At 37.9% G+C, this 15,333-nt stretch overlaps 1 annotated feature.

The window, feature by feature from the left end:
* Window positions 5,784-5,953: an enhancer, noted in NCBI's record as "experimental_9445 CRE fragment used in MPRA reporter constructs". NCBI's record gives its function as "activates a minimal promoter by MPRAs in K562 erythroleukemia cells, with activity observed for the non-introgressed 1:86693867 variant allele {active_cell/tissue: K562}" and the evidence as "EXISTENCE:reporter gene assay evidence [ECO:0000049][PMID:34662402]".

The following is a 15,333-nucleotide window of genomic DNA, read 5'->3' as shown; positions in this document are numbered from 1 at the left end:
GAAATTCCACCCTTAGGTATAAATCCTGGAGAAAATCTTATACATATGTAGAAGAAGATGTACATAAGTATGCTCCTGACAGTATAGCTTATAACAAAAATGGAAACAACCTAAATATAGGTGTGCTATAAAAGAGAGATGAATTGAGTTGAATGCACCTGTAGTCCCAGCTACTCAGGAGGCTGAGGCAGGAACATTGCATGAGACCAGGAGTTTGAGACCAGCCTGTGCAACATGGTGAGACCTCATCTGATATGGTTTGGATTTATGTCTCCACCCAAATCTCATGTCGAATTATAATCCCCAATGTTAGAGGAGGGGCCTAGTGAGAAGTGATTGGATCATGGGAGTGGATTTCCCCCTTGCTGTTCTTATGATAGTGAGTGCTTGTTAGATTTGACTGTTTACTAGTGTGTAGCACTTCCCCCTTTGCTCCCTTTCTCCTTCTCCAGCATCTAAGACACATCTGCTTCCCCTTCACCTTCAACCATGATTCAAAGTTTCCTGAGGCCTCCTCAGCCATGCTTCCTGTCCAGGCTGCAGAACTGTGAGCCAGTTAAATCTCTTTTCTTATAAATTACCCAGTTTTAGATATTTCTTTATAGCAGTGTGAAAACAAACAAATAGACCATCTCTAACAAAATTTTTAAAAAATAGCTGAGCACTGCACTTCAACGTGGGCAACAGAGTGAGACCTCCATCTCTTAAAAAAAAACAGAGATAGATGAGTTATGGTGTACTTATACACTGGAGTCCCATCCATCAGTGAAAATTACTGCATTAAAACTATCTGCATCAATATGGATGAATGTTATAGTGTTGAGGGGAAATAAGAAAGTTTTAGAAAGATATATATAAGCATTATTCAATTAATATAAAGTTAAAAATCTGGATATACTAAATATATATTTTATATTTTGTAGGATATATAAAGTTTGGTTCAACTATAAAGAAAAGCAGAGAAATAATTAACAAGATATTCAGTGTATTTACCTAAAAGGAGGGTAGGTAGGAGTATGATCACAGAGAGACATATAGAGGAATTCAAATGAATGATAATGTTCTATTTCTCTAGTATCATTTCATTCAACTAATATTTACTAAATGCTCACTACATGCCAGGCACTGATATAAGTACTTGGGATACAAGTTCAAACAAAGCAAAGACTCTTTCCTTCATGGAGCATGTGTTCTACAAGGAAAGGCAAATAAATAAATAGAATGTAATAAATTATTAAATTATTACTATGTTAGAAGGTGATAAGTTCTATGAAAAAAATAGGTTAAGAGAAGGCTAAGGCAGATTAGAGTGGGTGTATAGGTTGCAGAATTAAATAGGATGATAAGGGTAGGCTTCACTGAGAAGGTGACATTTGAGCCATGATTTGAAGGAAGTGGGCCATATGGATATCTGGGGGAGTAGCATTTCAGGCAAAGGGAATAGCCAGTGCATTGGTCTTAAATATGTATTTTCTTCCCCAAGTATGTGAGCTGCCAGAAGTAGTACAAAATGACGAGAGCGATTCATGAGAAGAATCAAATGTCTAGAATAAATGGAAACTTAAGATTCAAGAAGAGAGATCTCACGGGAGCATTGTGATTTCTCTACCTACCATTCCCCTGAACCTAGTCCCCTGCTCCTTAAGAGTACACCAGTTAGCGCTAAGGAAAGGGAAGGAAAGTTAAGCAAAGGATAGGGACAGGGACAGAAGAGGAGGGAGAGAAGAAAGAAAAACCCAAAGGACTGCTGCTCAGTTGAGATGACATCAAAGCAATTCCTATAGTTGATGAGAAGAAATTTTTTGTTAGACAAATTGCATTTCTGTCAATGTTTCTAAAAGGACAAGGGAAAAGCTTAGGAACAGGAAGACAAACAAGATTCCATCTCTGGGACTCCATGCTCAAGTTCCTGTAGTGTCTTCAGTAGCATTTTTGACAATGGTGGTGAATTCATTTACAGTGAAATGCTGTCATAGACAGAGGCAAAAAATTAGTGTTTTCTATATTATTTAAAAGAAGCAGAAGAGAACAGTGTGCTTTATAGACATTCAAAAGATTTGTACTGATGTTGGAATTTTAAGGAAAAGAAACTATGGTTAGAAATGAAAATGATATTTGGTCCCCTAGGAATTTACAACTTAGAGGGAGAAAATAAATACATATGTAAGCGAACAAGTGAAAGAGTAGGTGGGAATATGGAACTATCCAGGCAGTATGTTCAAGCACTGGTGCTCTGGTGTAGGCTGTTTCTAAATTCCAGCTTATAGTTTATGACAGTTCATCCTCCTGAGACTCCTAAGGCTGAAGGCAGAGAGAATGTTAATGAACAATTTCTGGTCTAGACCAGGCCTTCCAGCCCCCTCCCGCATTTCATCCGATAAGTCAACCCTATCCAGTCTTAACATGTATAACATTTTGATACTCAGATCTCACCCTGAGTTGGGATCCCAGACCTGACCTAGGACTCAGAGAAAATAAAGTTGTCTTTCCCCAACACATCTGAGACAAGGAGAAATACCAAGGTGGAATATTCAAACAAAGCCAAGAAACATGCAGGGGAACTTAGAGGAAAAAGTCTCTGAGGAAATGGCAGTAAGAGTCCAAATCTGGGGTGTGGGGCAGGTACAGAGAGAGCCAAGAGTTTAGAACTAGAATGGTGAGAGCAAGCACAGTTAGGCAAGGATCAAAAGGGAGGTGAGAGTGGGAGCTGAGAAGCTTGAACATCTGTTAACATTTGCAGCTTGATTTTATGGGTTTGTGTGGGTGTGTTAGCCTGGCTTAAAAGTATCAGGGGTGGGGCAGCCACTTGGCACAGCCCAAAACCACATGGACCTCCAATGGTGGAGCTGAGAGACAAGGCTGGAAAAGACTTGTGGGACTGCTCACTCCTTAGGACTGTGCACCAGCAGCAGGTGAAGACATTTTAAAACAGGAAAAACTAAGCCATACGATTTCTCATGTGAGAAGAAAAGGGAAAAGAGGAGTATTTGGTGTAACTATGTGAATGTGGGCCCTGACATTGTGTTTAAACTGCTCCATTTAAGAAGTTTTGTGACTTTGTGCAAATAACTTGAAATTTCTGAGCCTAAATTTTTTCATCTTTAAGATTGAGATTTTAATACGCAACTCACAGGTATTGATATTGTTACATATAAAATAATATTACATATACATATAAATATCTTTACACATGAATTGATTGTATAGTGCCAGAACATAATAGATGCTCAATCATTGGCAGTCCTTCTTCCTCTCTCGTTATTGTCATGTTCCTTGATGAATGATTAAATTAGTAATTGATTACTTATCAGCAGGTACTATTTATATAAAACGTAAGTAAACTATGGACTTTAGTTAACAATAATGTATTAATATTAGTCATCAATTGTAATAAAAGCATAACTAATGTAAGGTACTTATAATAGGAAAGAACTCTATGGGGAGAGAAGAGGGAGTTTATGGAAACTCTGCACTTTCCACTCAATTTTCTATAAACCTAAAACTTCTCTAAAAAGTAAAGTTTATTAATTTAAAAAAAATTTTTAAATCTTCATCTGCACTGCCTTGTGCAGGTGAAGATAAAGAAGCAAAAGATATGATCTCCACTTCCTAGAATTTTACAGTTTAATTAAAAACACAGATATTCATAGGAGAAGAACTAGTTTGTGGAGATAAGACATACCTTTTCAAGAGGTTAAACCAGGATTTCACAACAACAGTACAATTGACACATTGGACCACATAATTATTTGTCATCAGGGCTGTCCAATGGATTTTAGGATGTTTACCAACAAGTCTCCAGATTTTGCCATGTGTCTCTTGGGAGGCAAAATTTCTCCTAGATGAGAATCCCTTGGTTAAAAAAGAAATCTTCTTTCTTCTTTCAGCCCCACTTTCCATTGATCTATCAGCCAGTCCTGTAGTGTCTGGCCTTTTCTTACCTTAGATTTTATTTTTTCACTATGGGATATGCCCTGTAGCATATCCTTCACCACAACCAAGTCTCCATCATCTATTGTCTGGACCACATAGATAGAGTGCTAAATCACCCTACCTGATCTCACTGCTTCTGCATTATCTTCTTCAATGTATTCTTCCTACAGGAGCCAGCAATCTTTTTTAAAAAAAAAAATCCAAAGCATATGAATCCTCCTGTTTCAACCATCTTATGCTGAGATTCTCCACTAAGGCAGCACCTTAGTGGGGATTAAACTCCAGCCTTTATCTCCCCAGCGCAATGTGGCAGCTGAAGCCTCTGCTTAGCAATTTACCCTTCATCTCCTGCTTTTTTTCTGAGTTTCTTGGAGCCTTTCCCTGTACATGCACAGCTTAGCAATCATCCAGTACTTTGAGGGGAAACTGCACAAGACTTTCGGGTTTGCTTTCCTGCAATTCTCACCTCCCTGGGATTTTGCCTTTCAAGAAAATAAATAAATAAATAAATAAATAAATAAATAAATAATAAATAAATAAATAAAAGCCAGGGTGAATATGAAGCTGTGTTTCACTTCTCTCAGGAATCATAGCCCCTCAAGTCCTATCAGAGTTGGTTACTCTCTAATGCCTTGAAACTGTTGTTTTGTATGCTTCATTTAGTTTTGAAGTTATTTTCAGTGACAGGATTGCTCAAATTCAAGCTATTCCATCATGTCTGGTACCAGAAGTCTTTACGTTGAGATTTGTAAAAATCTCCCAGGTGATCCTAAAGGGTAGCCAAGATTGAGAACTGCTTCAAGTGGTTTACCACTGCATTTAGATTTAACAATTTGCAACATTTTCCTTGACCTATAAGTCCTACAAACCCCAGGGACTTCGCTGCCTTATTCACTGCTATATCTATATCATCTGGAACAGTATCTGGCACATAGTTAGTTGAATTAGATAGAGTATAAAAATTAATATAAAAACCATCACAAAGAAATATCCCACTTTAAGGACAAATGAGGAGCATAAAGAATGCAATAACAGCTTGGAGAAATGAAAAGATGAGTATGGTCTATTATTAACAAAAAGAAGCTTTCCAAATTAAAAAATAAATTAGTGCCACATCTCTCTATATGAGTCTAAGCTTCAAGGTTTTTATCTAATTGCACTGGCTTTAAGTGGAAAATGAGGTCAATGGAGTATGAAGAATAGTTTTTGGTGATGCCATAAAATGTGTGTGTCAGTGTTAAATACTTCCCTCCTGGGGTCAACAACCTCAGAGAGACCTTGCAAGAAAATGATTTTAGCTAAGGAGCCAGAAAACTCCAAAGAATATTGTTGGCAGTTTTAGACTTAGAAACATTGCAGATTAGAGGAACCAGCTGGCCCAGCATTTGAATTTGCTGAAGTGTGAACTTAAATCAAAGCTGGATGAAATGGTAAAAATAAAACAAAACTTGCTGTCAGGATCTCAGAGTTTAAAGACATTAAGGAGGCCGGGTGCAGTGGCTTACACCTGTAATCCCAATACTCTGGGAGGCTGAGGTGGGTGGATCATTTGAGGTCAAGAGTTTGAGACCAGCCTGGCCAACAGGGTAAAACCCCATCTCTACTTAAAAATACAAAAATTAGCCAGGCATGGTGGTGCACACCTGTAATCCCATCTACTATGGAGGCTGAGATAAGAGAGTTGCATGAATCTGGGGCAGGGGTGTTCACAGGGGCAGAGGTTGCAGTGAGCCGACATCGCACCACTGCACTCCAGCCTGGGTGACAGAGCGAGACTCTGTCTCAAAAAGAAAAAAAAAAAAGGGAGATTAAGGAAAACAAGGACAGCATTATGCTCTGCTAATATAAGGTCCTGCAACTTGAATTGACATTGGCCTAAGAAAAAGAGGAATAGCATATTTTTCTCCACTTATCTGAGGCCTGCATTGGCCCCAAATACCTTACGTCTCTTCTTGGGGTCTTGGAAAACAGAGGGTTTTCCAGGTTGCTTTAGTACCTCAGAGTGACTAACACAGGGAAGGCCAGTGAAATGTCTTGGTGTCCCTATTATTCCTGTTAAGATAATATTTCTATAGTATAAATTCCTTCTCCTTGAAATTTTTAGTAAAGTCTCATATGATCATAAACACACACATGCAATACAAACTGAAAAGCTGGGGTGGGGCTGCCTAGATTTCTGTAGAGCTGGTTACTTATAGCTCAAAGGTTAGATGTTACAAATTGAAATAAAAACATCTGGTAGGTATGCTAGATAGTTTTATTATTTCAACTGTGATATGTAGGGATTTGGTAAAAATAATAGTGGGGCTAACTCATAAGGGAACTGTGTTTTCCTGAGGACCTTGGAAGCTGAATCCCAGGGATGACCCAGCTCAGTATAACCCTTGTCCATTAGGAAGCTGACACTTCTGGGCTTCTATCCTAGCACAATACATATTGGGCATATGCCTTTAAAATGAGACCTCTCGCCTCGAGAAACCACAATACTGATAGGCTGAATGCACTGCCTCTGAACCTAAAAACAGTTGTGTTCGTTTTCTAGAGGTACTGTAACAAAGTACCACAAACTGCGTGGTTTAAAACAACAGAAATGTAAAGTCTCACCTTTCCGAAGGCTAAGATTCCAAAATCAAGTTGTTGGCAGGTCCATGCTCCCTCTGAAACCCACAGGGGAATCCTTCTTTGCCTCTTCCTTGCTTCTAGTAGTTTGCTGTCATCTTTTGCATTCCTTGGTTTGCAGCCATGTAATTCCAATCTCTGCCTTTACAAGTGGCATTCTCCCTGTGGGTATGTCTTCTTAGAAGGACTAGTCCCGTTAACCTAAGGGCATACTCTACTCCAGTATGACCTCATCTTGACCAATTACATCTGCCATGACCCTATTTTCCCAGTAGACTCACATTCAGAGGTATTAGTGGTTAGGACTTCAACTTAACTTTCTTGTGGGGAAAATAGCTCAACCCATAACAGCACTTATGTGAGTGATCACAGCAACCACACTAGAGATAAGAAGAAGAAAACTATTTCCTCAGTGACAGACCCTCATTCTCTATTAATGGTATTCTACTGGAGTGGACACAAACAGCTGCATGAAACATATCTCATTCTCTCTGCAGGGTTCTCTGCTTCTCTTTTCCCCACAATTGATCTCTCTTTGTTTAATCATGTGGAAAAGAGCCATATACCATTCAGTGGTGATAGTGCAAAGCTTTTGACTAAAACAAAGCCTCTACTGATATTTATGGAGAGTTATTGACCATTCACTTGGGCTTAATGTTTGCTACTGCTTCCAAGGACTCAAGCTGAAGGATGCAACTCTGCTATTTTCTGAGCTAGCCTTACAGTGGAAATCAGAAGGTATCTGCCTTTTTTCTTTTTTAAATCTACCCTTCCAATTTGTTTGCCAAGGTCATGTCTCCCCTTGATAGAAGCATTCACACTTCACATACCAGCCAGTTGACTATGGTTCTGAGGTTATTAGAGAGGTGGGAGAGAAAGAAACTGCCAGACTTTTTTTTTCACCCGATTGTCTGAAAAAAAAGACCACTAAGGTCTTAGAAAAGAGTATCTATGCCCAGAAGTCCCTCAGCACTGGTAAATGTTTCAAGTTTGAGGAGATTAGAAGCAAACATCCAGTTCATAGCACTGTTATTAACCAGGATTTCCTCAAGAGTAACAAGCAGCTGTGTATGAAATTGTTAGGAACACCAGAGGAGGATATTTACATAACAGTAGTGCTGAATTTGCATATGTCCACTCAAATTATATCAGCTGTTCTAAGACAGCTTTAGAAGTTAAAACTTCTAAAGCATACTTCATTTTATTGTATTTTGCTTTGTTGCCCTTCACAAATAATTAATTTTTTTTTTTTTTTTGCAAATTGAAGTTTTGTGGCAACTCTGTATTGAGCAAGTCAGAGAAAGTATTTTAGGCCCTTGGTGAGTAAGAAAGTATAAATCATCATCTTGTTGATATTTGTGTATTGACTAAATGAACTTGTTGAAATGATTTTAAGCTTAGGGATAGTTCTAAATATGAATATAGATCACATTCAAACAGGTAGTATGCACGAATGTTGCATGAAATAGAGAGCTATCACTAGGCTTAAAATGCTGATTCCAAGGAGAGAATCAGTGTTTATTTTCTGTTTCTCTGCTTTCAGTTTTAATTTTCCTGTTTCTCAGAGATGTTGAGCATGGAGCATGTGCTTGACAGAGAGAGCACCATGACATTTCGAGTCTGCTAAACTCTTCATCCTGGATACAATTTTCTAGAGTTTACCCAAATATCAAACATGTGGTAAATGCTTTATCAGACATTGACAGTCTTTCCACCTCTCCTCCCTGCCCTACCTTTACCTCACTCCACCCCACTGAGTAACCCAAGCTCCATTGGAAGGAAAACATGAGCTGGATAGAGGCTGATTTGGTTCTGGACTGTTCCAGGATCACCTTTTCTGAAACACTTCCTGGTCCATTCAGAGGGAACTTATGGGGTTGGGTGAAGTTTTCAAACCCCATTTGCCTTTGTCAAGTGGAGACAAACTCTTTTAGGAAACCAAGCCAGTCTCACCCTGAATTAGTCTATATTAAACTGTATCACAGAGCCCTCTTGCCTCTGGAGCTGCCTCCGCATTGGCCTTCCATGACTTTCTAATCTACCTCTCTTGCACTGCCTGGACTATGTTTTCAGCCCTTATGCTCAGGAGGTACAAATGCCTTTTGTATAAAAAGCTGTAAAAAGGCAGCTCGGGTGTCACTTGTCATTATTTTCACAAGGAGAATTCTGGCCCTCATTGAAGCTGTGGGTTTGACAGTTTCCCAGGATTTCTCACAATCACTTTTTCTTTTTCTTCCACAGCTTAACACTACTCTGCTCCCTTTTCGGCCTTGCTGTTACATTCATTAGGAACTGTGTTGCCACAGTTGCTTTTTCTATTTTTGATATTTGCTTAGGCTAAAATATCAGACTTGTTCTGGCATGATGCTGGCCCAAATTAGAGAGAAAGGCAACAGAGTAGTCAGGAATAGAATCTCAAATCTTTAAAATTCTGCGAATCCGCCAAGTTTAACATTTCTGTGAGAGTGAATGAGCAGGTTCCACATTTGTAAGTTTGGGAAGAAAGTAAAATTTTCCCCTCTGGATCCATGATCAGATTTCATTTTTCTAGTGTGTTTGACGTACCATACCAGTTGCTGTGGGCACAAGATGAACAAGGCATCATCCCTGTCCCCAGGGGCTCACTGCCCCTCAAGACATCAGGTTCAGTGCGTGCCAGCTCAACCACAGGAAATCCCAGTCCCCAGGCTGTGCCCACACTGTTTGATAAACTGAATCCTGAGCATATGTAACTTAGAATATGCCTCATGTTCCACCCTCTGCAATGAACTGTTAGCCCTTTCAAGGTAGAAGCAAGACCTCCTGGGATTTTCCAGTATCTAGGACCCTACATGTAATCATTCCTATCTGACAGACACTGGGTTGCACTTAAGAGTTTGTAAAATATTCCTATAATATTCCTATAATTAGCAACATCTGTAGTATGGTCAGGACAGCTGCTATCATCCACTCTACTGATAACAAAACTGAGACTGAGATCACACGGCTCAGGCAGCCATGGTCAGGCAACAAGAAAAGCAGTTGTAGAGCTGGAACCAGAGCTGAAGTCTTGACAATTTCTCCTGTTTTTCTTGCCACAATTTACTCAAACCCAGTAATCTGATAGTAGTCATCTGAAACCATTCATAACATTCTCATATATCTTTATGATGGACAGATAGGAGAAAACACTAGTTTAATCAACTTGCTACTGATATACTGAAAATAATGTCTCTACCTAAAATCCTTGTTTTAGAACGAGGTGAGAACAAGGCAAAAAAAAAAGAAGAAAAAATGTAAGATGATATAACTTGGTAGTTAAGCTACTTTGGGCAAGTTGCTGAATTTACTAAACTTCCATTTCTTCACCTGTCAAATGGGAATAATATTAGTATCTATTTCATATATAGTAAATGCCCAACAAATATTAGCTATAATTATTGCTATCATAATTATAATTGTAATTATACTAAAACAAACAAAATCAAATATTAAGCAACTCTGGCTAGTTTGGGATGTCCTGAGACTTCTTGAGAAAACTGTTAGGTTGGTGCAAAAGTAATTGAGGTTTTTGCCATTAAAAGTTACTTTGTCATTACTTTTAATGGCAGAAACCAAAATTATTTTTGCACCAACCATAGAAGTCAAGTCTTGGGTCCTTTCACTTTGAAAGGGCATTTTCCTAGATGGCATTGCTTTTCAGGAATTCAGGAAAGAAGAGGAAGGTGGAGATGAGGAAAGAAAAAGAAAATTAGCAATAGATTTATTTAATCAGACTAATTTCCTTTTAAAGGCCCTGTAGTCTCATGGTGTCTTAGCACAATGACATGTTTAGATATTTTCTTGCAAAAGAAAATGGGTACCTTCCTAGAGAAGTGGATGCTGAGGTAGAGGCTACTAAGCTGGCAACTGTGATTTAAAGAGAGTTTAGGAGTTTGACCTTGGTGTGGTTCAAGATCTCCCAGGATATGTTCTGGGAGTGAAATACAGTACTCTAAACAATGGTACTGGTAATTGACATTGAACATAACTCATAGACATCCATGAAATTTATAGCTTAATGAGCCTCATACACATATGCTAAAGGAAGATAAAGTGAGACAAAGCTAAACGGGAAAAAAATCCAAATTAATATTCCTCTGAAATTATTTTTGGATTATAGAATTCAAATATGAAAAAGCTGGAAGCCTTTAAAAAAGCAACTACTGATTACTTACGAATAGGGTCTGGATATATTATTTTGTATAGTTTTTCCTAATTAAGAGATGCAAACGAATTGGAAGAATTTTGTATTTTCAGATAGGGATATTTGACCTGCACTGTGCAGAAGGGGTGGCGATACTATGGTTTTGAAAGGGCCTAAGAGCATTCATTTACATGTTGCAATTATGTTCTGGTTTGGTGCAGAAGTCCTTCCCCAAGGAGCCACCTACAGTATCAGAGGGTCAAAGTTTATTTTGGATTGAATAAAGATGAGGCATGTGAGAAGCTTACACATACAAACTTTTTTTTAATGCAGCAACCACAGTCTTTTCCATTTCCTCTTTAAAACTGAAGACTGGGAAATTCATCAAGGAGACAAATTCATTCATTTTAAACATGTTATATAACTCAGGATTGTTAGATCAGGAAATGAAATGGAAAAACCATTTCTGCCATCAGGCTTGTAGCAGTCTGTGGTGGCATTTTACTATTTAATGTATGTTGTTGGGGACCATTAGCCTCCTGTAGCTTTACATCAAAAATTTTAATCTGACCACTTGTACTTGCTATATATGGATATTTACAAACTTGTTTCATAACTTCTTACAGAAATTCATAGTCTATATCAAGTTATACAAATGGTCTAGTCACTGGCATACATTATTCAGTGCTTGCAAAGTTATATAATTTTAATTATGCTAAGATATTTTCCTGAAGAAATCAAACATATGTTTGCCTGTTTCCTTTTCACATTCATTACTTACAGCATCTAGAAACTTCCAGAAGTATTTTTATGCCATACAAGGAGGTTATTTATGTGAAGAGGCATCCAGTTCAATTAGCTCTAATCCCATTAAATTATGCAGCTACTTCTTTATGCCTTATTATACATATGCTATGCTATAATGACAGATGCCTCATTTGTATAAGCTGATGCATTCATTATTTTGGTTTCAATTATGCTTTCATGAATAAACTGTACAAAAGTCACGCTATTTCCCTTTTGTTTCTCATGTTTCCCATTGACCCTACTCCTCCAACCCCTTTGTGAGAGATGAAAGTCAAAATGCATACATATAGAATACAACACTGTTCCAATTTGTTTGAATTCTTAAGTGAAAACAGTCACTCTAGAGTTCACCATAAAGTGAGGCAAAATCCCAAAATAAGCTTTAGCAATGTAGTCACCAGGAAATTCCTATGGAAGAAAGCCTAATATCTGTGCTGTTGAATAGGACACAACCTTTCTCAGTGTGGCTGAAGCAAGATTCTTAGAATACAGTAGATAGTCAATATATATGGTTGTTGAACTGAACCATTGGTGTCACCTGGGAGATCTGACTAATTACAACAGAGATAACAGGTTTGGGGAAAAACCTAAAAACTTCATGGGACATTATAGCATGAGGATGTTGGTGGCATCCCATGAATTCACGTTGAAGAAGGGAGAAAGATGACTGGAAGAGATAGAGAATTATTTCAAAATTTTTCATTTGATAGTGAATGTCTAAATTTATAAGGTTTCATTTATATAATGTTTCATATATAATATTTAATAGCAGTAGTTGAGACTATATTTAAATTCTCAGTGTTAGAGGAAACACCACCACCATTTCACCATTAAGTGTAATGTTTGCAATAGGTTTTTTGGTAAACAACCTTTTATCAAATTAAGAAAGTTTCTATTTCTAGCTTCTAACAGTATTTATCATGAATGAATATTAAATTTTATCAAAATTTTAAATATGAATTATAAAGATAATCATATGCATTTTTTTGCCTTTTGTTCTATTAATGTGGTAAATTACTTAGATTTTGAATGTTAAATCAATCTTGCAATTCTATAAATCAAATTTGGTCAAAATGTATGATCCTTTTTATAGACTATTGGATTCTGTTTGCCAGTATTCTGTTTAGGATTTTTGTCTTAATGTCAAGAGTGAGATTGGACTGTACTTTTTTTCTTGCAACGTCACTGTCAGGTTTTGGTGACAAGTTTGTGTGCTGGCTTCAAGCAGACTCTTCCTGTGCTGCTCCTGGCCTTAAAGAAGTAGCCTACCAAGAAGTAAATGCTCTGCATAGAAAGGAACCATGGGTAGCCTCTAGGGACTAAAAGTGGCCACCAGCATGAAACTAAAGGCTCAGTCCAGCAACTGCAAAGAAATTAATTCTTCCAACAACCTGTGGGAGCTTGGAAGTGGTTCTTTCCCTAGTCAAGCTTCCAGATGAGAACACAGCCTAGATGATAACCTTGATTGCAGCCTTGTAAGACCCCGAACAGAAGACCCAGATCAGTTAACCCTGGTCTCCCGTCCCACAGAAACCGTAAGATAATAAACATAAATTGTTTTAAGCATCTAAATTTGTGGTAATTTGTTACGTAGCAATAGTAAACTAATACATTTCTTGTTTTTTAAACATGTTCCATCAATATTTGAGCACTTCCTTACCTTATGACCAACAGGACATTCCTGGCTCGCTTGTACTTTCTCTGAATAAACATGGAATTAATCATTTTTCCAAGGATCTCTGCTACCTTTTGGTGGAGAATGGAATTTAGAAAACAAGGCCTGAGTGCTAGGTGTGTCAATACTCTTAGAGTGTTTTGTTCTTAGGCCTTCCCATTGGATAGAGCTAGGGGATATGTGTGTGTGTGTGTGTGTGTGTGTGTGTGTGTGTGTGTGTGTGTATGTCTGTATGTGTATTCAAATTTACATCTATGTTTATATCAATCTCTATACGCTGCAAAACATAGGTTCTTACTGAAACCCTGAATTCTAACCCAGTACCACAGGGTTTATTCCAGTTTTCTTTCTTTCTATATTTGTAGCTCTCTTCTATGATAGGAGAAACCTGACTCCTATTATTCTCAATGTTTACTTACTGGATAAATTCTTTTTGTATGTAACAATCTCCTATCATCTTCATAATCTCCCTTGCTTCACAGATTGCTTCCTCATCCTGTTCAGTCTCTACCAATGCCCTGCTATCCTCAAAGGCAGCTACCTTGCTAGGCCCCATGTAATAGATTATGAACTAAATTATCCAAGAAAGAAGGAAGGTCTAGTTATTTTTAATTAAGCACCAGAGATTGTACATGAAAATCTATAGGCATAATGTGAAGCCCAGTGTGATGCTTTATTCCCCCAAAGAGTATGTACCTTGTCGCAGGCAGCTAAGGTCCTTAGCAATGCCAGTTCACCTAATACAGACTCGTAATTGAGATGATTTGAAACTGGGCTTTCATCACTACAAGGGCTAGTTCAAGTTGACTCTTACTCCTAGTTTCTAATCCAAAACCTCCCTCTTTGGAAGCCCTTGAACTCCAGCTTTTGTCCCCCTTTGCCCCATAAGGCTGACAAAAGCTCTACTCAGTTTCTCAGCTACTTCTTCCAGAATTGGAAGAAACTGCTAGGAGAAAAAAGGCCCTCAAAGCAAGTCTCAGCTCTCTGGAGTTGCTTCTTCTTCCAGGTATTACTCCCATAGTTTTTCACCATGTTATTAGCTTTCTAATGTATTCAAGAAATTTTTAAAATATATTTTGTCCAATTATCCTAGTTAGTATCACTAGGGGGGTGGTACAAATTATCTAGTCCTTCTTTACTGGGAGAAAAGTCTTCTATTGGTAACTTCATATTTTTAAACTAACATATAGTGAATACTTAGTGTTCTTAGTGCCATTTAAACATTTTATGTGCTTTGTCTCATACAACTTTTACCACCACCTTGGAGATCAGTACTATTATTAACCTATTTTACAGTTGAAGATCCAACATTTAGTGAGATTCACTATCTCGTGCAGGGTCACACAGCAGTAAGCAGAGGCCAACTCAGGTCTGTCTGACTGCAAAGCCCAGGATTAAAATACTGAGCTGTGTCATTTCCCACCATTAACTTTCACAGCCTAGAAACATAAGCACCCTGTAGGGACAATCTTAGTTACCAGTCTATTCAGAGAATTTAGAGAGGGAATAGAACAGACTTTTTAAATTTGCTTAAATGGCTCTGAGACAGGGACAAAAATAGCACTCAAGTTTGGGCCCAAAGTGCCACATTTATTGCTTCCTGTTATCCAAACAAGAACTGTGATGGATTTTAAATTAAATTAAATTATAAGACTCAAATGGGGGAAAATGTCACCATCCTAAATCTACCTTTATATATTTTGTGGCATAAATTAACTCCCAATTCGGGAGCTTTTCTTTCTTCCTCTCGTGGTAGGAATCTGTCAGTTGACATAAAATTGTGCACCATGGCCGGATGTGATAGAGGCAGACAAGCAAGATGCGTCTCACTGATGCATCTGGACAGGAAACCTTAAATATGGTTTTCTTTTCTTAAAAAAAGAAATCCCAGCCACATATGTTTTTGTTTTTCTTCTCAGCATTTGGTACGTGAAAACATAGGGCATGTTATTGCAGGTAGCAATTCTCCAGAGAGTGGTAGTACTTTTTGAAAGATTTTAGGAGCCCTCAAATTCTTCCAGGGATGAAGATCAGGTATTTTGGTCTGATACTTTGAAATATATACATATTTATTTATACTCTTTTGTGTACAAACTAGAAACAAGTTGCCTACATTTTCTTGAAAATTTTGGGA

This window comes from Homo sapiens, chromosome 1, assembly GCF_000001405.40.
Source record: "Homo sapiens chromosome 1, GRCh38.p14 Primary Assembly".
Classification (NCBI taxonomy): Eukaryota; Metazoa; Chordata; class Mammalia; order Primates; family Hominidae; genus Homo; species Homo sapiens.
Note: the sequence above shows the minus strand (reverse complement) of the source record. Positions and strands in the feature narration are given on the sequence as shown.